We start from the raw sequence: 26285 nt of genomic DNA on the forward strand, positions 1-26285 counted from the left end.
AGCTTGCAGTGAGCTGAGATGGCACCACTGCACTCCAGCCTGGGCGACAAGAGTGAGACTCCATCTCAAAAAAATAAAAATAAAAATAAAGAAAGAAAAGAATACAAAACATAAAAAGAAAAATTGATGAAGCAGACTTCATCAAAATTAAAAACTTCTGTTCTTTTGAAGCCATTATTAAGAAATGAGAAGACAAGATTGGGAGAAAATATCTGCAAAACACTTATCCGATAAAGAACTAGTATACCCAACACAGATTAAAAAGTTATGACTAGATCATAAGAAAACAACCCAATTTTAAAAAATGGACAGATTTGGAAAGTCACTTTACCAAAGAAGATATACAGATGGCAAATTAAGCACAGAGAAAGCTGCTCAATATCATCAGTAAGTCATGAAAACTATGTACTAGGAATTAAACTCATTAGGAATTAAAACTACAAAGTCTAACCTTTTAAAATCACTAAAAACAAAACCAAACAAAACTTATGAGACTTAAGTGTTGGTGAGGATGCAAAGCATTTGCAACTCTCATACATTGCTAGTGGAAATGAAAAATGGTACAGCCACTTTGGAAAACAGTTTGGCAGTTTCTTATACAGTTAAACATACATTTACCATACCATATGACCCAACAATCTCATCCCTAGGTGTTTATCCCTCCAAAATGAAAATATATTTGTCTAGACAAAATCCTGTATGCAAACGTTTCTATCAGCTTTATTCATAATTGCCAAAAACTGGATACAACCCAGATGTCCATCAGCCAGTGAATGGACATAATGGACATTATGCTAAAATCAAAGAATCCAGACTGAAAAGGCTACTTAGTGTATGATTCTACTTATATGACAGTCTGAAAAAGACACAACTGTCAGAAAATAGATCAGTGGTATGCCAGGGTTTGGCAATAAGGAGGAGGACTGACAAATGAACATGAAGGAACTTTTTGGAGTGACTGTGATTATATGGCCGTATACATTTGTCAGCCATATAATACTGTACACATAAAAAGGGTGAATTTTACTATATATAAATTATATCTCAGCAAACCTGACTAAACAAATTGTATCTTCAAGGCCAATACAGTAGGATAAAGCTAAAATAACTATAATAGTGTGAGAACAGCTGGACACAGTGGCTCATGCCTGTAATCCCAGCACTTTGGAAGGACAAGTGGTAGGACTGCTTGAGTCCAGGAGCTCGAGACCAGCCTAGGCGACACAGTCTGTCTCTACAAGAAATAAAAAGTTAGTCAGGCATGGTGGCACATGCTTATAGTCCCAGCTGCTTAGGAAGCTGAGGTAGGAGGATCCCCTGAGCCCAGAAGGCTGAGGCTGCTGTGAGCTGTGATTATGCCACTGTACTCAGCCTGGGCAACAGAATGAGACCCTGTCTCAGAAAAAAAGCAACAACAAAAAACAGTGTGAGATGATGAGAGAAGAACACATTAAGCAAATAAAGAAATAAAAGAAATTCCATAAACAGACATATATTTTAGGCTTTGTGGACCATATATTAATAGTTTCTGTTGCAACTACTCAACTCTGCCGGCATAATATGAAAATAGTCATTGACAATGACAATAGAATGGCTGTGTTCCAATAAAACCTTATTAACAAAACATGTTGGCCGTAGTTTGCTGACTCCTGGTCTAACCAATAGTGTTGGGACGACTGGCTTTCCATTTTAAAGGAATATAGTAAGATCCTAATTTTATGATATTCACAAAACTAAATTCTAGATACATTAAAAATCTAACTATAAAAAACAGAAATATAATCTTGAATAAATGAAAACTTCCCTAAGAATAACAAAAAATCAAGATGGTATAAAGTAAAACATATGAGACTCTGGGGCCGGGCACAGTGGCTCATGCCTGTATCCCAGCACTTTGGGAGGCTGAGGTGGGCAGATCACCTGAGGTCAGGAGTTTGAGCGCAGCCTGGCCAACATGGCGAAACCCTGTCTCTACTAAAACTACAAAAATTAGCCAGGCATGGTGGCGCATGCCTGTAATCCCAGCTACTCGGGAGGCTGAGGCAGGATAACTGCTTGAACTCAGGAGGCAGAGGCTGAAGTGAGCCAAAACTCCGTCTCAAAAAACAAACAAACAAACAAAATATGAGACCAGCCAGGCGTGGTGGCTCACACCTGTAATCACAGCACTTTAGGAGGCCGAGGCAGGTGGATCACGAGGTCAGGAGTTCAAGACCAGCCTGCCCAACGTGGTGAAACCCCGTCTCTACTAAAAATACAAAAATGAGTCGGGCATGATGGCAGGTGCCTGTAATCCCAGCTACTTGAGAGGCTGAAGCAGGAGAATTGATTGAACCCGAGAGGTGGAAGTTGCTGTGAGCTGAGATCGTGCCACTGCACTCCAGCCTGGGCGACAGAATGAGACTCTGAAAAAAAAAAGAAAAAAAAAAAAAGAGACTCTCCTCCTTAAGCTGGGAGCACAAAAGGCTATATCCTTAAAGTTGAATAAAACAGGCTCACAGCTGAAAGCCTTAGAAAGACTACACTCTAGGAACAGGGTGAAAGAGGTAGATCAAGCTTTTCCAAAACCACAACCACGTCTTGGCACAGCTCAATTCCTGACTGGATTAACACAATCAGCCTCTACTATTATCTGTCTAGAGAGGAAAGTGTGACTTCTCTTTTCAGAGAAAAGTAACATCATCTGGAGTTTCCACCATTGTTATATGCAATGCCTGGGCATTTAATCAAAATTACTAGTAATGTCAAAAGGGAGGATCATTTGCCCAAAGTTCAAGGAACAAACCAATAGGAACAGATTCACATACAACTCAGACATTACAGTTTCCCAAAAAGGACTTTAAAATCACTCTGGTTAACATGTTCTGGAATATAGAGGAAAAAATAAAAATAAATGAAGACGGAGAAGTTCATCAGAGAAGTAGAATTTACTTTTAAAAAATCTATGAACATTCAGCCAGGCGCGGTAATCCCGCACTTTGGGAGGCCAAGGCGGGCGGATCATGAGGTCAGGAGATCAAGACCATCCTGGTTAACACGGTGAAACCCCATCTCTACTTAAAATACAAAAAATTGGCCAGGCACGGTGGCAGGTGCCTGTAGTCCCAGCTACTCGGGAGGCTGAGGCAGGAGAATGGTGTGAACCCAGGAGACGGAGCTTGCAGTGAGCCAAGATCGCGGCACTGCACTCCAGCCTGGGCGACAGAGACTCCGCCTCAAAAATAAATAAATAAAAATAAAAAATAAAAATCTATGAATATTCTACAACTAAAAAATATTAATATAATTGAAATTAAAAGCTCAACAGATGGGTTTAACAGTAGACATAGTAGAAATGGGTGAACTGGAAGACAGTAACAAAGATCCAAACTAAAAGCACAGAGGTTAAAAATGGTAAGAATGAAAAAGAATGTAATGGACAAGTGAGACACATTGAAAAGGCCAATGGTCCAACATATGTATAACTGGAGGCCCAGAAAGAGAAGAAAAATTGGACAGGAGCAAGATTTGAAGAGAAAATAGTTGTGTATTTTTCAGAAGTGATGAAAGCCTTCAACATACAGAATCAAGCAGCTCAGAGAAACTCAAGTATAAATACAAAGAAAACCACACCGTGGCATATCATCATAGTAAAACTGCTAAAAATCAGAGTTAAAAAAAAAATCCTTGCTGGGTGTGGTGATCCAGATGATTCACACCTGTAATCCACTTTGAGAGGCTAATGTGCGTGGATTCCTTGAGCCCAGGAGTTTGAGACCAACCCAGGCAACACAGTGAGACTCCATCTTTACAAAACAACTAAAAAATTAGCTGGATGCGGTGGTGCACGCTTGTAGTCCTAGCTTCTCAGGAAGCTGAGGTAGGAGGCTCACTTAAGCCTGGGAGCTCAAGGCTACCATGAGCTATGATTGCGCCACTCCACTCCAGCCTGGGCGACAGAGCAAGATCTTGTTTCAAAAAAAAAAACCTCAAAATAGCAGGGGGTGGAACATATTATCTTCAAATGAAAAACAATAAGACTGACAGTGGAATTCTTTAAAAAAAAAAAAAAGAAAAAACATCTTCCAAAATATGGATGAAATAAAGATATATCCACAAAAAAACACAATTCATTAGCAGCAGACCTGAACTAATATAGTAAAGGGAGTATTTATTCAGGCAGAAGAAAGAAAAAATTATCCGAAGGAAATACAAAAATGTAGACAGGAAGCAAAAACACTAGAAAGGTGTTTCTAAGTGACTACTGGTATTACAAAGTAACAGTAAAAATATTTGTGGGGTTTAAAGCACCTACAGAATCAAACTGCATGACACCAGTAACTCAAAAGGAAGGTACATAACAGAGCTAAAATGTTCCAGCCTGGGCAATAAGGGCAATAAGGTTGAGACCCTGTCTCTACAAAAAGTACAAAAATTAGCAAGCATGGTGATGTGTGCCTGTAGTCCCAGTTACTTGGGAGGCTCAGGTGGGAGAATCACCTAAGCCCGAGGAGGCTGAGGCTGCAGTGAGCCACAATCATGCCACTGTACTCCAGCCTGGGTGACAAAGTGAGACCCTGCCTCAAAAAAGAAAAATAAAAAAAGAAATGTTGTAAAGTTCTAGCATTATCTAGAGGGTAGTAAAATTATAATTTGTATTAGACTATCATAAGTCAAGTATGTATATTGTAATTTTTAAGATACTCACTAGGAGGATAGTAAAAAGGTATATAACGACAGGGGAAATGTGAAATAATACAGTTCTAAATTAATCCGTAAGAGGGCAAAAACAGAAAAAAGAACATAAATCATGAAAATCAAACAGAAAACAAATAGAAATAGGGTATATATCAACTCAAATGGATTAAATATATGAAAAGACTAAAACTGTCAGACTGGAGTTACAAAACATACTAAATATGTGCTGCTTATAAGGGACACACCTTAAATAAAGACACAGATATATTGAGAGTAAAATAGTGGAAGAAGATGTACTAATCAAAAGAACAATAATCAAGAGAAAACTGGTGTAGCTATACTAGTATCAGATAGAGATATCATCTCTAATAACTGGCATGATACATACATTTCATAATAAAGGGTCAATCCTTGAGGAAAATATAATAATTCTAAATCTAAAAATATCCAATAATTTAGTTTTAAAATATATAAAGTTAAAAATTGAGTGAACTAAAGGCTGAAAAAGACAAATCCATAACCACAGTGGAAGAATTAACACCCGTCACACAATACTAATAAAACAAGCAGATAAAAACTTGGAAAGGACGTAGAAAATCTGACCATATCTAACAAAGTTAACTGACATGTTAGAACAATGTACCCAATAATACTAACATATCTTTTTTCATATGTATACAGCATATTTGCCAAAATTTACCATATATGGGTAAAAGCAAGCCTCAACAAATTTCAAAGGATAGAAATAATTCAAAGTACTAAGCTATCAGTAAAAAGATAACCAAAAAATACCCAATTATTTGGATATTAAGCAAATATATAAATAACTCTGGAGTCAGGTAAGAAATCACAAAATAGAAAAAAATATTTTGAATGGAATGAAATCAACACATCACATGCAACAAATGGAACTCATAAAAAGCACAAAATAAGACGGTAGATTTAAACCTCAATATTTCAGTAATTACATTAAATGTAAACAGACTACACACTCTGTATTGGTTGAGACCAATGGTGTCAAGTGGATTAAAAAACAAGAGTCCAAGGATATGCTGTTTATGAGAAACATCTAGAGCAAGGATACAGAAAGGAAGAAAAAGTACAGCTATACCAGGCAAATTCTAACTAGAAGAAAGTTGTCCAAGTTGCATTCACATCAGACGAAAATAGTCTTTAAGGTAACAAAAAGCAGTATAAAAGATAAAGAGGGACTTTCTATACTGATTAAAAAAAAAAGTTTAGTTCATCAGGAAAATGCAGGATTTTTAAATTTGTATGTACCTAATAACATTATCTTAAGATAAATAAAGCACCAAAAATGTATAACCTGAATCTAATAATGAGGACACGAGACAAATCCAAACTGATGGACACGTTAAGGTCACAAAAAATAAAAACTGAGGAACTATAACAAAGAGTCTGACTTCATTTTTTGATGTTTAACTGCTGACAGCTCACCTCTTCCTCTTTCTCTCATGTCCTATATCTGTACATAAGCCAGATGTAAACCTTACCTCTTTTTCTTTCTCCTAAGTCCCTTATCCAGGCAAGCTGATATGAAAGTCTAGATGTTCCTTCCTTGGGAATCAGCAAGAAATCCAAACTAGGTAAAGTCCGCTCTTGTGTAAGAACTCTCACCCCAGCCCAAGCCCCTAACCACAATAAAAGCCCAAACGAATCTCCTTTCCCTGTTCTTTCTTTTCTTTTTTTTTCAAGACAGAGCCTCACTCTATTGCCCAGGCTGGAGTGCAGTGGCACAATCTCAGCTCACCTCCACCTCCCAGGCTCAAGCAATCCTTCCACCTCAGCCTCCTGAGTAGCTGGGAATACAGGTGCACACCACCATGCCCAGCTATCCTTTCCTTGTTCTCTACAGTCATTTCAAACCTGCTTGAGAGGATTGCCCTGCTCTCCTGGACCTCAATTATGTTAATAAACCTTTTCATACCCTCTTGTTATGCATGTAACACGAATAGTCTTAACATCCAAACCAAATTTTAAGTGGGGGTCTATAATGCCCTTGCAGGTGACCATAACAGGAACTGTTCCCAATTAAATGAGACTAAAGATAAAAGACAAATGAATGCAGTACATGATCCAGGACTTTTTTCTATAAAGGACATTATTGTGACAATTGGTAAAATCTGAAGAAAGTCGGTAGATTAAATAACAGTATTGCACTTATGTTAATTTTCTAACTTTGACAACTGTACCGCATTTATGGACCTGTTATTAGAAAACACACTGGGCCGGGCTCAGTGGCTTATGCCTATAATCCCAGCACTTTGGAAGGCCAAGGAGGAAGGATCACTGGAGCCCAAGAGTTCAAGAAGAGCCTGGGCAACATAGTGAGACCACATCTCTACCAAAAATACAAATCAAAAAATTAGCCAGGTGCGGTGGCACACGCCTGTAGTCCCAGTTACTCAGAAGGCTGAGGTGAAAGGATTGCTTGTGCCAGGGAGTTCAAGGTTACAGTGTCACCACACTCCAGCCTGGGCAACAGAGCAAGACCCTGTCTCTTAAAAAAAAAGGCATCGTGTCTAACTTACCCTCAAATAGTTCAATAAAAAATACTATACTCACATACACATACATAAATAACACACACAGAGAGAGAAAAGGGTAAGACAAAGGTAAAATATTAACAGTTGATTTGGAATGTGGTCAAGCAAATGCAGGAAATTTTTTGTACTATTCTAGCAGCTTTTCTGTATGTCTAAAATTATGTCAATATAAAAAAATCAAAAGAAAAAATATAAAATAAAACCAAATAGTACAATGCCTACTCCATAAAGTGAGATATTTTGACTACTTTTCTCAGTAATTGATAAAACAAATAGAATACAGAAAATTCAAACAACACAATTAACAGACAAGAACAAATGGAGACATACAGAACACTTCACGTAACTGAAGACCATATACGTGTTCTTTCAGTGCACACAGAACATTTATAATATTTGGCAATATTCTGAGCCCTAAAGCAAAACTCTACAAATTTCTAAAGACTGAAATCACAAGAGCACCTACCAGAATGCAATTAGCCGGAAATTAACAAGAAATACAAAAAATCCTGAAAATTCCATGTGGTAGACAGAATAATGGTCCTCCAAAGATGTCCACATTCTAATTCCCACAATCTGGGAATATTGAACAAGCTTATGCAGCAGAAGAGACTTTGCAGGCATGATTTAATTAAGGATCTTGAGATGACAGGATTAATCTGGATTATCTGGGTAGGCTCAGTATAATCACAAGTTGTTTTTGTTGTTTTTTTTTTTTTAGAGTTGCAGTCCTACTCGGTCACCCAGGCTGGAGAACAGTGGTGCAATCAGAGCTCACTGTAGCCTTAAATTCCTGGGCTCAAGCAATCCTCCCGCCTCAGCCTCCTGAGCTGTCAGGACTACAGGCACATGCCACCACACTTAGCTACAAGGATTCTTATAAGAAGGAGATACGAGGACCAGAGTCAGAGAGGACATGTGATGACAGAAGCAGAGGTCAGAGAAAGAGATTTGAAGATGCTATGCTGCTGGCTTTAAAGATTGAGGAAGGGACCATAAGCCAAGGAATCTGGGCAGGCATTAGACATTGGAAAAGGAAAGGAAATAGATTCTTCTTTAGAGCCTCCAGAAGGAATACAGCCCTGCCAACATTTCGATTTTAGAAATTCTGGCCTCCAGAACTGTAAGATAATACGTTTGCATTGTTTTAAGTCACTAAATTTGTGGTAATTTGTTATAGGAACAATAGGAAACTAATACACTCAATATATATGGAAATTAAGTACTTCAAATCTGATGTGTCCTTATAAAGGAGAGGAAATCTGGACACACAAAGAGACACAAGGAATGCGCACACAGAAGAAAAGACCACACGAGGACACAGCAAGAAGGCAACCATCTGCAAGAGAAGGCGAGAGGCCTCAGAAGAAATGAAACTTGCTAACACCTTGATCTTGGACTTCAAGCCTCCAGAACTGTGAGAAATAAATTTCTGTTGTTTAAGCTACTCAGTCTGTGGCACTCTCTTACGGCAGCCCTAGCAAACGAATACACTTCCTATCAAGACTTAAGGGATGTGAGCCAGGCATGGTGGCTCACACCTGTAATCCCAGCACTTTGGGAGGCTGACGCGGGCCTATCACTTAAGGTTAGGAGTTCAAGACCAGCCTAGCCAACACGGTGAAAAAACCCTGTCTCTACTAAAGATACAAAAATTAGCTGGGTGTCATGGCACACGCCTGTAACCCCAGCTACCTGGGAAGCTGAGGCAGAAGAATTGCTTGAACCCAGGAGGTGGAGGTTGCAGTGAGCCAAGATCGCACCACTGCACTCCAGCCTGGGTGACAGGCTGTCTTTTTTTTTTGACCCTGTCTCAAAAAAACAACTTAAGAGATGTGTCCCAAACAATAATTTAAACAAAAACAGTCTCGGCCGGGCATGGTGGCTCACGCCTGTAATCCCAGCACTTTGGGAGGTCAAGGCAGGTGGATCACCTGAGGTCAGGAGTTCGAGACCGGCCTGCCCAACATGGCGAAACCCCAACTCTACTAAAAATACAAAAAATTAGCCAGGCGTGGTGGTGGGCGCCTATGTAATTCCAGCTACTCAGGAGGCTGAGGCAGGAGAATCGCTTGTACCCAGGAGGCAGAGGTTGCGGTGAGCCAAGATCACACCACTGCACTCCAGCCTGGGCAACAAGAGCAAAACTCTATCTCAAAAAAACCCCCCAAGAAAACATCGTCTCAAATGCATATATGACAGGGAAAAAAGACTAAAAACTAAAGAGGTAAGTACCTATTTAAAAAAATTAGAATAAGAATAATAAAATAAACCAAAAGAAAAATTTAAAGATAGAGACAAGAACAGAAATTAGTGAAATCTGTAGCAGAGGGGATTCACGAAGCCAACAGTTTTGGCTTAAAACATTTTTTTTAAGACCAGTTAAATTCAGTATTTTAAAACAAGAAAGAAAAACAGAGAAATCAGGCATAAGTAACTAACATCAGGAACAAAATACAGGACTGAACTAAATATGGCTCAGGCTCAAGCATTAAGAGGAATAATATCAGGCAGGGCGCGGTGGCTCATGCCTGTAATCCCAGTACTTTGGGAGGCTGAGGCGGGCAGATCACCTGAAGCCAAGAGTTTGAGATCAGCCTCACCAACATGGTGAAACCCCATCTCTACCAAAATACAAAATTAGCCAGGCATGGTAGTGCATGCTTGTAATCCCAGCTACTCGGGAGGCTGAGGCAGGAGAATCGCTTGAACCTGAGAGGCAGAGGTTGCAGTGAGCCGAGATTGTGCCACCGCACTCCAGCCTGGGCAACAAGAGCAAAACTCCATCCCCACCCGCTCCCCCCAAAAAAAGGAATAATATCATACAAAATATGTCTGCAAATTTAGATAAAATTGATAAATTTCTAGAAAAACATAACACATCAAAACTTATCCAATAAGAAAAAACCAGTCCTATAACCATAAAAGAACTAAATCGGTGATCAAAAATTTCTTCAGAGACCCAGATGACTTTACCAGCTATTATTTCAAACACTCAAGGAATAAATAATTCCACCAATTTTACGCAAAAAATTTTTCCACAGAATAGAAGTATATTTTCTCAACTCATGTTGTGAGGCTAGCATAACTTCACTATCAAAATGTGAAAGAACAGTATCAAAAAAATCATAGGTACTTTCACTCATAAACACAGGCACAAAATTCCTAATAGCAAAGTGAATTAAGGGGTATAAAATAAAAATAATAACAGATCACATTCAAGTTAGATTTGTTTTAGGAATGCAAAATCGGTGTAACAGAAATCAGTTAATATGCTTCCCACAATTACAGATTAAAGTAGAAAATTATATGATCATCTCAACAATACAAAAAAAAACCTGACCAAATTTAATATCCATTCAGAATAAATAGTCTTAGCATATTAGAAATCGAAGAAACTTCTTTGACAATGTGTATATATACCAAAAGCTACAGGCAAAACCCTTCAGGATGGTGGGTACTCTGAGTTGGGGGTGGAGGTTCAGTTGTAACTGGAAGGGGGGTACATAACAAAGGGCATCTTGGTCTCAGACCCTGATTACATGAATGTAAATTTCCTTTTAAATTTTTTGAAATTTAATGCTGCATAATGAGTTGTACACTTCGACCTGAAATAAAGAAGAACTAAGATACACACACACGTCCCCCTCTGATTACAACCATGTAAATGCTATATATACAGCACAGGCAAAGACTACAAGTGAATATGAACAAATTAAAACAGTTTGATTTGTTAACATAGTGTGATAATGTAACTATGTGTAAATTTTAAAAACTGTCACCAAACAGGAAACTGTGAGAAAGGTAAGACAGATATGGCTCTGGGCACCACCTATTTTATTTTCATATCCTTAGACAGGTAGGCCTGGTTCAACTTTGACGGTGGGTTAGGAAGAACTCCCACTGACAACCAGCAGTAAAGACAGGCAGTCAAATGTAGAACCCATAGAATGCTCCCATTTGCTGCCTTCCCAGCCTTCTTACAGGAATGGTGCACTAATTAATCATCCAGATACTAAAGCACCTAATATACAACCTTATCAATGCTTGGGTTCCAGCCCCCATTTTCATAAGAGCAAAGATGAGAAGTCCAGAACAAAGGCCTCATGCTGTCCCTCACCCTAAAAACAACATCAAGGGCTGAGTAATTTCAGTTTACAGAATTGTGTGAAATAAGGGACCAAAATAGGTGGGTATAGATAGCACCTTAGCACAAAGGAAAAGAGGAAAATTTTTTCTGCAAAGGCTGTGACTCTCAACAAACAATAGTAGAAAAGAGAGACCCTTACACCTAGCTATGTGGTTAAAAAGTGGCCGTGCCAGGATCCGTATTTCTAGCTGCTGCAATCCTGACCTATTCAGCAGATTCTAAACCTTTTGCTAGTGGGAACTATAGTTTCCAAACTAGACATGGGGCCAATCTAGTCTCCACAGACCAGACTCTACGAGTGTCCTGCCAGCCTTGCCAAGAAGCCAGACCCTGCTAATTCCCTTCTATCACCTGTGCCCTTCCCTTGGGCAAGGGAATAGACTGCTTGCTGTGGCTGCTGAAAGTCAGAGTCACTGACCCATTTCAGAAGTGGGAGAAGAATATTAAGCAAGAACTTTCATCTGATCATTTGCATCTAAGTCAGTCTCAGGGAGTATCTCCAAAAAGGTCAAGGGAAGGACTAGCGATATTATAATCCTGAAGCCATAAAGGACTTTTCACCACATCCCCCCCGGCCCCAACACAGTATTATATTTTTTCTTTCTGTAAAAGTCCATGAAGTGCTGTTAATTCATTGAGTCTTACCAGGGAGAAAGCTGCTACTTAAGTAAAAAAAGTATTCGGGAAAAAAAAAGCTGATACTCTAGAATCACCATAGGGATGCAGCTATTACACAGTGGCCAAACACAGTTGTCCCAAAGCTTAAAAGCTCTCCTTTAATTCTTAGAACGGGTGAGGCCCACTTCTATGACCATGTTCTCCGTTGACGGCAGTGTGCAAACTTTTCTCAAGACTTTGGGTAACAGATTATCACGTCAGGAGAAAAGTAAGAGTCCAGCCCTTTCTCCCTCTGAAGGTGGCAGGGCATTGCTCCTTCACTTGGTCACCAATAGCCTCTGTGGGAAATCCTAAAGAAGAGGCTCTGCTCTGGCAAGAAGGGAAGTCTGGCTTTGTATCTTCTCAGTCCCAACCTGAGAGATCTTCTTTTTATTTATTTATTTATTTATTTTTTGAAATGGAGTCTCACTCTGTCACCCAGGCTTGAGTGCAGTGGTGCAATCTTGGCTCACCACAACCTCCGCCTCCCGGGTTCAAGCAATTCTCCTGCCTCAGCCTCCCGAGTAGCTGGAATTACAGGCATGCGCCACCAGGCGGCCCGGCTAATTTTTGTATTTTTAGTAGAGACGAGGTTTCGCCATATTGGCCAGGCTGGTCTCAAACTCCCAACCTCACGTGATCCGCCCGCCTCGGCCTCCCAAAGTGCTGGGATTACAGGCGTGAGTCACCGCGCCTGGCAGAGATCTTTTTAAAAGAAATTAAGTCTATAAATAAATTGCAAAATAAAAAATAAAAAAGAGCATAAGAGAGAACCTATAGAGACATCAACCAACTGCAATGTGTAGACTTTATTTGGCTCTGATTCAAATGAACTATTAAAAAAAACAACTATCATAAGATAATTTGGGAAATTTAATACTAACTGGCTATCTGATGATAAAGAATTTTTTAAATGTGATAATGGTAGTAATTATCTTCTTTTAAAAGTCCTAATTTTTTTGACACACATTCTGAACTGCTTAAGGATTAAATAATATGAACAAGGATACATGTAAAAATAATGGGTGGCAAAGACAAAGTTGATACAGGTATATGAAACAAGACTAGCTGTTGATTAAGTTTTTTAAATGGGTGATGGACATAGGGGTGTTCATACTAGTCTCTTTACATATATGTGTGTATGTGTGCGTGCATTTTTTTCACGGTTTCAAAAATAACATTTTTTAAAAAAATTCAGGACCATTTCCCTAGAGTCCTTGGGGCATTTGATTCTTCCCAGACAGCTAAGTGAAAGGGGTTCCTTTTTTTCTTCTTTTTTTGGGGGTATCTTTTCTTATCTGATCCTATAATTAAGAAAACTGCCCTAAACATCTCTGTAGCAAAAACACCTAAACCCAGGATTAGAGTCTAGATGAGGCAGAGGGGATGCCCTGGCCTGCTGCCTCAAAAGCTAGCACTCTGTCACTGTTAGTAGGTGTCCGGCAGCCAAACCATTTTGCTCTGTGCTCCGCTGGCAAGGACTTGCGGCATCGATTGCTCAGGATGCAGGCAGCCTGCAGCAAGGTGTGTCCCTGATGAGCAACTGCTGAGTAAAAGAGTACGTAGCTGCGCCTCAGCCAGTCTCCCTCCCTCTGCAAACCAGACTCCTCCTTTGCCTAACTCCTTTTTTTATTCCTGCGTCACAAATACAAAATGGAGTTAGCTGGGAGCAAAAACAATCTGTCTAAAATGGCTGAATGCGGTGGGGAGTGCCAGACAGTAAAGCGAAGGGAAAGGGCACCCCCTGGCGGCCAAGATAGGGAGTCTGTTTTATGTTCTTCACTACTTTTGCATTTCAAACGAATCAGTCCTACAGAGTCCAAGTTAATTTTGTCACAAATCTTGATGTTGAGCTCTAAAATTCAACTAATAGAAACTGAGGCACAAGAAGGGAAAATAATTTTCAGTCTCTAAAGACAAAGGGCACAAGTCAACAGCCCTGAGTTGCAGTTACTGCTTGGTTATGATCAGTAATAGTTTCTAGGAGACAACAGAACGGAAGGGAGGTCCTTTTATAGTACATGATTCCCCAGCTTCAATAATGGACTAATGACCCCCGGAATCCCACCGCTATAGCCTGCACTTCCCCAGGAATTCCTGTTTAAGGCGTCTCTCAATGAAGACCACAAACAGGAAATGGAGGAGTGGGGAGTTGCCTGACATCCTGGAAACTACGTTCTTAAAGAACTGCAGGTGGGAGTAAGTGGGATAGAAAAATGGGCTTTTCAAAAACTGTTGAGAACACGGACTGAGTCAGTTGTATCCGCACGGCTGGAAGACAGGCAGCTCCACCTAACCTCACTCACTTACTCAGGACCAAAACCCTACTTGCTCTGCCCAAGATAAAGCCTGCAGCATTTGTACCTATTCTACAGGGAACACCCTCCATTATCTTTATCTTACGCTACACCTCCCTTGAGTAAGCCAAGTACCTATGACTAAAAAAGAACATGTAAGAAAGGTGGAAAAAACAGAAATTATCTGGAAAAACTTGTGGGTACAAGTCATTAATGGTTGCCACTACTTAAATGAGGCTGCACAAATACGCCAGTTTATCCAACGTCCCTAAAGTGAGATAATGGCAACACATACAACACAGGTGCACAAAAATCACAAGTTGTTAAAAAAAAAAAAAAAAAGACTCTGGCATCACTATAGTTTTCTCTGAAGAAATAGGGTCTTTGTGGAAGAATCTTAGATCTCTCAGGCATATATGAAAGATCAGAACACTTAATAATCTCTCCAGGAAATAACTTTCTGTGAGGGTAACATAGCTATGGAATTGCCAAGTTCACCTAGCATACAATAAGCCATGTCTATTAAGCACTACATCAACTCTCTAATTCTGGGAAGAGGAGACAGTAAGAGGGTCTTAATGTTAATATAAGTGTTAATATAAGAAGCTGCCCAAATGGAGGACTTCTGATTTATATTCTTCATGGTTGTAATATACATAAGGGATAAATTCAGCACTTTAAAACAATCACTAAGGTATACATTATAGAAGGAAAAAATATCATGCCAACCGAATAGCAGTTATCCCTGCCCAAAGGTAACCGTATCACTGATACCTTGGCCAAAATATACAACTATCTGCAAAATCCCACAGAACTAGACCATTACAGATGTGCAAGCTGTAAGGAGGGACAGGGCAAACTGGCATTAATGAACAAACCTAAAGGACAAGAACAAAGCCACACAGAATCCCAAAGGAAGAACCAGATGCTGAGAGTTATAAAGAAGGGGACAGATATAAGTCTGGAAGGGTAGCAGAAAAGCAGTATTAAAAATCTGGGCACTTCACCAAGCATTTGGTCTTTCAGATAATATAGTCATTGAGTTTCCCACAGATACTTTCCCAGCACACCCAGGATGGTGACTCAATTAGGGAGTGCTAAAAAGAGGTCTGCTTCTAGGATGTGGGTGGGGAAGGACTGGAAGGACAGGCACTATCCCAAACAAGGACTCAGGTATGTCAGCAAAGAGGACAGGTTTATGCAAGGAAACAATAGGCTAGAGGGCAGAAGAAAAGGCATTAAAATAAGGTACTAGAAATAAAACTCTTTTCCTGGATTAAAAAATGTTTTATTATGGGAAAAATTAAACATTCAAAAACACAATTATTAATCCCCATGCATACATCACTCAGTTTCAACAGTTATCCACTCGTGACCAATTCTGTTTCATCTACACCCCACTTCTAAATCCCATAATGATCCGCAATTATTTCTGTACACATCTCTAAAAGATGATGACTTTTTAAAAAATGCCATGAAACCATTATCACACTAATTTCCAGCTGTCTCAACTGTCAAGTGTTTTGTATAGTTCATTTGGATCAAGATCTAAATAAGTTCCATATACTGTACTGGTTGATAAAATTTAAAATTCCCTCTTAATCTATATGTTCCTCTCCATCTCATTTTTTCCCCTGAAATTTATTTGTTGAAGAAATCAGGACACTAATCACTGGTAAAAATCAAGAAGCACTAGCACAGTTACTTTACACTGTCAGTCACTGGAAGCAAGCACCTGAGGTTTCTCTCAACATGCCTGCATTCTTGCCACTCCCTTTCACTAAGTGCTGGATTTGAGCCCAATATATCTAGGCTCAAATTCTGGCTTGGTGTTTACTTGCTATAAAATCTTAACAAGCAAAGGACATATTAATTCTCTTTTATATCTCTCAATTATAAAACAAAGATAATACCAATTAGGCATTATGGAAATAATGTTTTGATAATTGGAAATAATAGTTGATAATCCCCTGTCACAAATCTGACATTAAATAGGTATTCATAATTTAAGACTGAATGAGAAGGCAAAGTACCTTCATCTTTTTTTTAGGTGCTCCAGATCAGTTTTAATCTCTGCTGTATCTCACCCACGCTAACCTAAATAAATACTGAGTAAACTGCAGAATTCTAAACCATTCTCCATAACAAAGGATTCTAGAAATATTCTGTTTTATTCAGGGTTGGGAAGGGAAGTAACAGGGTAAGAGCAGAACAAAGAGAACAGATGGAATAAACTCCCAGCCCCCAGCCTGAGCCTGCAGAGACAGCTGCTGGTTTTCGTCATACTGCTGTTTTTTTCCCTTCTTTGTTCCTGAGGTGGAAGCCAGGAAAGGGTGGGGAAAGATGAGGGGGGGAAGGGGTGGAGATGGGAGGACCGCCATCTCTGTTACTGAAAGTCACCTGATCTTCTCCTCCAATCCCTAGTCTCTGACCTCACAATCTGGAACCTGAGCCAAAATAGCTCAACTGCGCGCACCCCGTGGCCGAAAAGAAAAATGCAAGCAGAATAGGAAAAACGGGAAATTCTTGGGAAGGATTTTTGCAGTTTTTCTTGCTAAAAGAAATGCAAACACACACACAGGAGAGTGCCGTATCTTCCCATCTAATAGATCTAAAAGAAGAAATCACTGGCTCTAAGAAGAGTTGGGGTTATTGTAGGATCAGGAGGAAAGAATGGTTCCATCCCATCTTGCAGAAATGGGGTTACCAATGCCCTTCTGTTATATCACTGGGGTCCCTTGTCCAATGGTACTTAGAAGTGAAAAGAGTTTTGTTTTTTTTTTTTTTACATTGGAGTCTGTTTTTTCAAAAAGAAACTGTTAAGAGTGAAGTAAAGGATACTGTTACTTGCTTTATAGAACTGAATGCTAGTACTTGGCTTGGCAGACGAAATCTCAGGTCCAAGTACTTCTAGAAATCTAGAAGTGCTCTAGAATCTTCTCCAAGCATGTCAGACACTGAAATTTCCTTTTTAACCCTGTGTCTTTTTCATTATAAAAACAATATAACCACATTATAGAAAAATTAAAAGAGAAAGTATGTAGTACCCTAACAAAATCTCTGTTACAGTAGTCTGGTATATTCCCTTCTAATCTTTCACTAATGCATTTGTTTTTAATATGAAACAATTGTAATAAGGTGTACATAATTTGTTTCCTGCTTTTCCCACCAAACACTGAATCACAAGCATTCTTCCACACTGCTCCAAAGGCAATGGGCGAGAGTTCTAATACATGGAACAGTTACAGGACACTAAGTTCTAGAGCAATTCATCTCCAGAACAAAAACTGAAATGGAAGCAAGAAAAAAATAAGGTAGGCCACTCCTTTCCTTTAAAGACCTTTTATAGAGTAGCATCCCTTTGCTAGCAGTACAAAGATCTCCTCCTGTTCAAGTATCACACTCGAGTGAAGTCTGGAAGGTCCCCTGGCTGAACTTTGCAAGTCTCTCTTCCCCATATCATAATGGCTGTAAGCTCTAGCATAAGTTGCCATACATTTACAGAGCTGATGTGGGTAACTAACTCTTCAATTCATTGTTATGTATGAGTTTTTTTTAGGAAGATCAAAAGGACATGTATACATGCTAAGATGCAGTCAGATCAAATGGGTTACTGTAGCTACTGTTTCAAAAAAAAAAAAGAACAATTATTTCATTACTCTACTTTTGTTTTATCCTTGTGTTCATTATAAAAGTAATGCCTGCTTATTAAAAACTTATAATTTTTTTAATGAGGAAAGTCTCTGCATACTGATACGAAGACTCTCCAGGATATAGAAGCAAGGTATAGAAACAGTACAGATAGTATGTTCCTTGTTTTGGTAAGAGGAAGGACAAGAATCTGTATCAGTATTTGTTTATAACTGCACTTTTTAAGAAAGTCTAAAGGATAATCAAACTAATAAAAATGGTTACCTCTAGAAGGTAGGGGAGGGAGAAGGATGGCATGGATGAATACTAGGGTGGGAATGAGACTTTTTTATACTGTTTTGACTTCTGAACCACTTACCTATGCAAAAAAAAAAAAACAAACAAAAAAAAACAGATAACAGAGAAGCTGAAAGAAAAGCCCCAGAGGAAACATTCTGTGGAGACATCCTTAGCACTCCTTGCAAACTAGCCTGTCTACAACCTTATGTTTGGAGGGAGACTTGTTCAGCATCAGCAGCAAAGTCATTTCAGGTCCAACAATTCCCAAATAGTGTAAGGTCAAGGGATCCTCAAAACAGTGCCTTTTCCTTAAGGCAACAGTTTTGGGTTCTAGTATGTAGTAAGAGAGCACTGGATCACTCTTTTGTTCACCCCAATCCTTAGTTCTGCTTTGACACTTGCTAGATATCCCATTTCTTTGCCTAAACACATCTCTGATGTCTACCAACTCCAGGTCTCCATAGCAAGAGAATAACCAAGCTTGAACAAAAGTTATGTCTGTATAACTGTAACATTCTTCATCTTGATTTCTATCTCCTCCAGTTTCTCACAACTCCTTCCGTGTTGTACAAGCCCCAGTCCAGCACAATACTCTGCCCTAATCACTCTGCCCTCCATCCATCCTCTCCAGCAGAGTCAATCTCTAAGTGGTTCCGAGCTAGTTCACTGACCACAGAGGACTTCTTCAAAATGTCCTTCTAAGATGGCTACTGAGAAGTTTGGAAGATGGCAAGAAAAGTGCCTCTGAAACAGTGACTCCAAAATTGACTGCCAAGTCAACAGAAAATGTTGAATTGTTTCCTAATCAATCTCATATGACCTCCATAAGAACAGGGATAATACTTATATAATACCTATTCAGATACAGATACCAAAATATTATTAAGAGAACAGGTGAAGAGTGGCTTAATTCACACCATTAACATGTAAACATGTTACATGTTACAAACATGCTCCTCATGTAATCCTTATACTAAAGTTTGAGATTTACTGGTATCAACAGACATTTAAGGCTAGGAACTGACTGTACCAAGATGTTAGAAGTTTAAGTAATACTGACCCCCCAACTAGATGGTCTAAGTCTCAGACAATGACATTTAAAAGGACATTTGGTTAGAAATAAAATCTGGAATCCACAGATAATGGCAGATGGTACCTTGGACTTAAAAGATACCATTTCAGTCTATATGTTTCTAGAAAAGAGTAATACAGGCACACACTAAAGCTGGGATGGCTAGAAAGAGGCTCTAAAAATGAGACTAGCTGGGGATAATTAGGAGTTAACATATGACACAAAGGGTTGACTTTGACCGTGAAAATCTTTCTGCACCAGCATATTCTATCCAAGTTAGACCAGGGGAATTCCCTGAAGAAATGGATTCAGTATGTTATCTCAAGCTAGTTATCCATATATAATGTGGGTAGGTTCTATTATGCGCTTAAAGTAGTTTTTCAGCAGAAACTGAGACAGAGATGGGATTATGAGTGTGTATATAATGAGGCTACAATGAGCTACCAAGCTGATAAAATACAAACCTCTCTTTGAGCCCTCTCAAAGGAAGGCTATGCTTTCATGAAGGTATCAGACTAAAGAACAAAAACCTTTCCAGCCTCTGGACCCCAAAAAGAACACGAATATTGCTACTATTGAAAATACTAGCTGCAACAGGACAAGATCCTTTTGTAAAAGGGCAAGCTGTAGCTTTCTGCATAATTTAACTGCTGATCAGTCCTCCAAATAAATTTCCTGACAGGTAGAGGGCAGTATACTAATCAGCTTGTATTTGGAAAGGACAGAGGTTGCCTCTCTCTAACGTGATGACATCACTACCAAACGCAACAATGACACATCTAAAATAAAAGGGATCCATGTGCCATCTGGTGGCTGAAAGCAGTAAAGCACACTGCTAGAAATAAAATATCAAATTCCCACGGTTGAGAAGAAAATTAAAACTTAATTCCTTTACCTGATGATGCAGTCCCTTAAATCTCCAATAGTAAGTCTTCTGTGGAAACTACATCAGCAGCCTTCGCGCAATAGTTTTAAAGTTTTGCCCCAGTTTAGCTCTATACTCCTAAACACTGGCTGTAAGCAAGCAGCAGCTCCTGATGCCTGACCTTTGGTGCATAGAGTAAGAGAATGAAACTCAGACCAAAACAAACAAAATAACAAAAGGACCTGGAAGGCTGTCAGAAACAAAAGAAGAGTTTGACATGACAGATAACACCAAAGACAGCTTATTGCAAGGAAAAAAAGTAACAGAACCAGAAGTTTAAAACTGAAAGATACCTTTTAGGTTCATGTATCTCACTTTACAGATAGAGTCAAGGTAAGAAAGATAACCCCTGGTGCAATCTTATTAGTGGTCAGACTAAAACAACATATCACTTTTCCCCTACTAGACATTACCATAAATATTTTTTTATTTTTCGTGGAAGTATAAATTGCTACAATCTTATACCTAGCAACTTGGGCCCACAGATTTTATTTTTAAGAATTTACTGTGCAGAAATACAAGTTTGCAAAGACAATTAAAAATGGATGTTTCCTTCAGCATTGCTTGTAATAAAAAAATGGAAAACTTATTTGTATTATATGACAGAATACAACTATCAGAAATAATGACACAAATCTATATGTAAGGACATCGAGATGCTAAAACACGTTAAGCAAAATACAAAACAGTATATACTGTATAAGATCACACCAATTATATTAAAAAAGAAGTGTGTATACCTTCATGTTTCTGTAATTTTATTTTTAATTCCCTTGCCCCTTTTCCAGTAAAGTTTTATTCAAAAATTTACCTTTCTCACTTGAACTAAAGAAGAAAAGGATTTTCCCATTCCTTTATTAGAATAACATATGTATATAAAAAGTATGATTTAACCACAGTCACTCTGGGGGAGGACACCTTTTTACCCTGTATTTCCAGTGTATTCTACATATTTGTTAAAATGATGATAACAAATTAGTCCAGGAACTGGCTTTAGACAGGACCATGGTAACAGAGGAAGACAGAATTCTGCTAGGTAAAAGTAATGATGGAAGTCTTTAGAAGTTCCTTTTTCTGATTGCTTCAATTTTGTCAGTGAAGTAGAAAGAAAACATCCCCAACTGAGAATGAGGATGAGGGAGGTTTGGGCTGTTGAGGAGGAAAAAAAGGTGTGAAATAACCTTTAGGAGAGCAGGAAATTCAATGAATTTGTAATGCTTCAAATATGAGTGCCTGGCAGTATCAAGGGCCAAGCAACTTCACAAATTAAGCAGAGGAGAGTTGGGAGAAAGATCAGCCAGTGAGTTAGCAGGAAAAGTAAGTGTTTCCTGTCCTGAAAGCTAAGAGAAGAAAGTCTGTCAAAGGAGGGCCCAGTTTTGTGGTATTCTCCAGCCATGTTCAGTTGCACAGCTACAGGAGCAGGACAAAGACAGAAAAGGAATTAACCGGGATTGTGGTTTTGCCAATCGAGTATGAAATGAGAGAGATAATGGAAGAACAAAACCCAAGCGAATGATTATAATGATTAACCAAGAAATTTTAGCTCAGGGAAAGAGTGAAGTCATCAGAAAGTGAAGGACAGTGAAATGCTGGTAGGACAAATGGATTAGCGGGGCTGGAGGCCTGTTGGGGTCAGGATAGCAAAGGGAGTAAGGTAAAAAGATAGAACCTGGGTGGTATGACATGAGATCCTAGAACGGGGGAATGGTTGAGGTAGGATAGAGGACAAAATCAGTAGAAGAATTCAAGGAACTGAAAGGCCAGAATATTGGTAGGATCATGACCTTTTCGTATAAAAATTCCTAAGAATTAAGTCAGAGGTAGTATTGGAGTATAGAAGAGTGGATATGAGTCAAGAGCTAAATTGTTTGAGAAATGAGGAGTAACACGGGTGTCAGTAGATGACAACATGAAGAGAAAATGGGTGACATAACGATGTCATAAGATTTGAAATTGTTGGTTTTTAGGAATTGTTTCCTTTTAGTAAAGAGGCAAAATGATCTGAGAGTGGCAATGAATAACAAAGATTACATCTACCCCATCTCCAAGCCCACTGGGGTGAGGTCTATGAGAACAAAGAAAAACAATCACATGGGCTGGGCCTAGTGGCTCATGCCTGTAATCCCAGCACTTTGGGAGGCCAAGATGGGTGGATCACCTGAGGTGAGGAGTTCGAGAGCAGCCTGGCCAACATGGTGAAACCCTGTCTCTACTAAAAATACAAAAATTAGCCAGGTGTGGTGGTGCACACCTGTAATCCCAGCTACTCGGGAGGCTGAGGCAGGAGAATTGCTTGTGACCAGGAGGCAGAGGCTACAGTGAACTGAGAGCTTGCCACTGCACTCCAGTCTGGGCAACAGAGCAAGACTCCATCTCAAAAACAAAACAAAACAAAACAAAACAAAACAAAACCACATAAGCAAGCAAAAGGGAAAGTGGTATTGAGAGAAAACCAGGTTTCCAGTAGAGCAAAGTGAAAAAGGTTTTGCCAGTAATGGACCATGAATTCCAGAGGGTACAGTGGACCAGTTTCAGGAGCTTAGGTGGGATGGGAGGAGACAGAATAGGAACCACACAGAACCTTATCGCAATTAAACTATGGGAGATGAAGGATGACCCAGGAGTCTGGGGCTGCCTGTGGTAAGTGACATAAACCAAGATAAATGGCATAATATTAGATCCAGTGGATTAAAAGAAAATGGTGATGGAAAGGTTGGGGTGTAGAGGGGTATATGAGGGGGCAGTTTAGGTTCCTTTTTTATATCACTAGTGACAGTGAGATGACAACCTGGAGGAGGTATGGTACTTTTTCCATGTGAAGAAGTTCTGGAAACCCCAGATAATAGGGATAGATTTATATTTTTAAATCACAAGGGACTATTATCTTGATATTATAGAACTTCCCAATTTCTTTGTGCTAGTAGTCTGACCCTACTCAAAACCCAAGAGAAGCTAAGTAATTAAAAGGTAAGACTCCCAACAAGTGTTCACTTGACTAGTACCTCTAGTCCTAATCTTACCGATTTGAGTGGAATAAGAAACTGATGGAACAGACATCTTTCTGCTAAGAGACTCACTGAACAAGGTAGAGCAGGCTGAGCTCTCACAAAACCTTGCTGCTAAAGGTTAAAGCTGCAGAAGCTACAAAAATTCACTAATAAAGATGCAACTGGGTGAGTGCCACCTAGTGGACAGAAGAGATATCACAGGGAAAAAGAAAAAGACCCTCAGATTCTTTTTGGGAAAGGGGCTCCTGCTGAAGCCTGAAGCAAGAAAATTATGTCAGGGCAGCAGACAGGTAAACCTATCTGTTACGGCTAACAGTTCTGACTTCTGGAACAACAGTACTGGACCCACACAGTCAAATGCTAACTAGAATACTGTTATTTTTTAATAAAATTCTCAATTCTTAGTGAAGGTCTTTTTAGCCAGAGTTTTTTCTAAATTACTGCCATTAAATATTTGGAGAACTGTTCTGATGCTCACAGTTCACATAACACACCTCTTACTTTAACAAGTCTAATGTTCCATATTGTTTCTGGAAGGAAGGAATAAACCTAAAAATAAAAGTCACTGTACTATTTATTTAAGACATGAGTTATCACTCACCATGCTATGGTTCAAGAGGTGGTAGTGTAATGATCACATAATCAACAAAAGACAGCGAAGAGAAGAAATGGAAAATGAAAAACTAGTTTATCTTGTACATACAAATAATGAGCTGCCTAAGGCTACTACAGCAATGAAAATGCTCCCTTGGAGAAAATGAAACAAAAAAAAAAAAAAAGAAATTTAACTATTGGACCTATTTCCAAGAAATTCAAAAAGAGTCAACAAAGACTCCTTGCTGATCACTATAAGGAAAGTGAGAATGTGAAAAAGGACCAGAAGTTTTATGGCACTGCCTATCAAAAGTAAATTCAAAATATTCTCTGGCAGGGAATAAGTTAACTGAGTAAGTAAATACCTCATTTATGGGAAACAAAGCCTTCAGAAACAAGACACTAATCCTTAAAAGAGAAATAATGTGTAAAAGAATCTGGAGTATAATATTCTAGGACCAGTTCCTGTCTCTCAGCTCTTCTCTTGTAAAAAGGCACACATATTCTGCTTCAGAATATGTGTAACAGGAGACTTTTCACTACAGGAGGCAAATGTGCAGAGTGAGGCAGGTGCTTTCTTCAATGCCCATTCTTGGAGGGGCCAGTAGGTATACCGAAGGTTTTAGGTATCAATAAAACATAAGGGGGATACAGGCATGCTTAACAAATAGCAGAGTTGTGTTTAGCAAGCAAGAGAGGAAATAATGCAATATGATGAAAACCCAGTGTCCAAATAACTTCTTCATCAATACTGGCAACCACCTGGACTGAAATCACCTAAGCAGTGCTTCTACTAGATAAACATGTCTTATTTCTTCAACTGGATTAGTTTTGCTAGAGTTGAATACAGTCAGAATATGCCTTCTCTTTTATAACCCTAAATATCTAGTATCTCACTTACTTTTTTTAATCTATTATTGTTCCCTTTTTTCTACTCAGTCACTGCCAATTCAAGGACATTTGCGTCTGAATGAATGAAGTGGTTCCTGAAGGCGGCATATCCCCTTTCTTGCAGCTTTTGTCTGGATCTAAGCTTTCAGAGGCTCTTAGGGCAAGTACATACACACTTCCTAAGAAGTAGAAGGCTAGAGCAAGGACTTTGGAGTCACTGTTTGGAGTCTGAATTCTGACACTTTTTATACAGTTTGGAAAAAGTTATCTAATCTATGTCACTACTTCATCTGGAAGATGAAATATTTACAAGGTTGATAATGAGTAGTTATCTATCATTTAATTATATCATCAATATCAAGACTATGAATGAGAGACTTGGTAACTGACACTGGCTTCAGCATTCAAACTGAACTGGTTCAATATTCAATTCAGTATTCAAGAATTACTTTTAAAAAGTAGTAAGGATGGCCGGGCACAGTGGCTCATGCCTGTAATCCCAGCACTTTGGGAGGCCAAGGTGGGCAGATCACCTGAGGTCAGGAGTTCAAGACCAGCCTGCCCAACATGGTAAAACTCCATCTCTACAAAAATACAAAAATTAGCTGGACATGATGGTGGGTGCCTGTAATCCCAGCTACTCAGGAGGCTGAGGCAGGAGAATCCCTTGAACCCGGGAGGCGAAGGCTGCAGTGAGCACGATCGCGCCAGTGCACTCCAGCCTGGGCGACAGAGCAACACTCTGTCTCAAAAATAAAAATAAAAATAAAAAAAATAAAAGTAGTTAAGGATGAAGATCTTTTTCTGAAATATAAATACTAGAGATGTTTAAAGCACTGAAGTAAAGTATACTTGCTGTCATACTGAGGAGATCTGGGTCTTCTGAGTGCTTGCAATTTTTGAGAGCTTGAAATTCCTTATCTGACAAAAACCTAAACTCTAAATAAGAAGCACAAAGATCTTTTACTAAAGTTTTCTTTTTATTGGCCTTTTGTGACTAAGGGGGCCACTTTGGTATTTTAAAAAATACTACCATATCCCAATTCATAATGAGAATATAATGCCAAGGAAGACCACTAAACTGTATAAAACCCAACTAGAATTAATAGGAATACAAATGCACCAAATAAAAAGATGGGGATGGGGGTGGGGGGAGAAAAGGGGCCCAGTCAGTATTCATTTGCAATGGCACTAAAAGTGCAGAGCCCAGACTCAAGAAAGAAACTTATGCCAGAGGCCAACATAGGGATTCTGTGAACTTACAAATTAGAAAATCATTTAATTTTGACTTTGTCAACTAGTCTTTATTGATAGACTAATACAGTATATGTGGTTACCATCCCAGTATTTTAATTAAGAGAGTGGAATTAATCCCTTAGGCTGGACTTTGGCATGGAAGGTGACAATTTTCTTAGAGGAAAAGGCCATTTTGACCTGAATGACAGGGCAACAAGACAGATCTGAGCATTATGGTCTTATACTCCTAGATACACACACACACATATGTAACTAGGGGC

The 26285-nt window shown here is 39.1% G+C and overlaps 1 protein-coding gene and 1 long non-coding RNA gene across 6 annotated transcripts in view, besides 4 other annotated features; one reads left to right on the forward strand and one right to left on the reverse strand.

Annotated features, from left to right (window-relative positions):
• DIAPH1 (diaphanous related formin 1) overlaps nt 1-26285 on the reverse strand; it is a 103980-nt gene that overhangs the window by 29223 nt on the left and 48472 nt on the right. The window lies entirely within an intron of this gene.
• Nucleotides 3445-3645: a silencer, noted in NCBI's record as "peak5501 fragment used in MPRA reporter construct". NCBI's record gives its function as "represses an SCP1 promoter by STARR-seq MPRAs in K562 erythroleukemia cells {active_cell/tissue: K562}" and the evidence as "EXISTENCE:reporter gene assay evidence [ECO:0000049][PMID:32103011]".
• Nucleotides 13046-13898: an enhancer, noted in NCBI's record as "H3K27ac hESC enhancer chr5:140936856-140937708 (GRCh37/hg19 assembly coordinates)". NCBI's record gives its function as "activates a minimal SCP1, AML or CMV promoter by ChIP-STARR-seq in naive H9 embryonic stem cells {active_cell/tissue: H9 hESC(naive)}" and the evidence as "EXISTENCE:reporter gene assay evidence [ECO:0000049][PMID:30033119]".
• Nucleotides 13046-13953: a biological region, named in NCBI's record as "Sharpr-MPRA regulatory region 13738".
• Nucleotides 13659-13953: an enhancer, noted in NCBI's record as "tiled region #13738; HepG2 Activating non-DNase unmatched - State 12:CtcfO, and K562 Activating DNase matched - State 25:Art". NCBI's record gives its function as "activates a minimal TATA promoter and a strong SV40 promoter by Sharpr-MPRA in HepG2 and K562 cells {active_cell/tissue: HepG2 | K562}" and the evidence as "EXISTENCE:reporter gene assay evidence [ECO:0000049][PMID:27701403]".
• On the forward strand, nt 14068-21017 carry DIAPH1-AS1 (DIAPH1 antisense RNA 1). The gene is made up of 3 exons (NR_038333.1): nt 14068-14244; nt 17559-17662; nt 18822-21017. It is a non-coding gene; the product is annotated as a DIAPH1 antisense RNA 1 (long non-coding RNA).

Source organism: Homo sapiens, chromosome 5 (assembly GCF_000001405.40).
Source record: "Homo sapiens chromosome 5, GRCh38.p14 Primary Assembly".
Taxonomy (NCBI): Eukaryota; Metazoa; Chordata; class Mammalia; order Primates; family Hominidae; genus Homo; species Homo sapiens.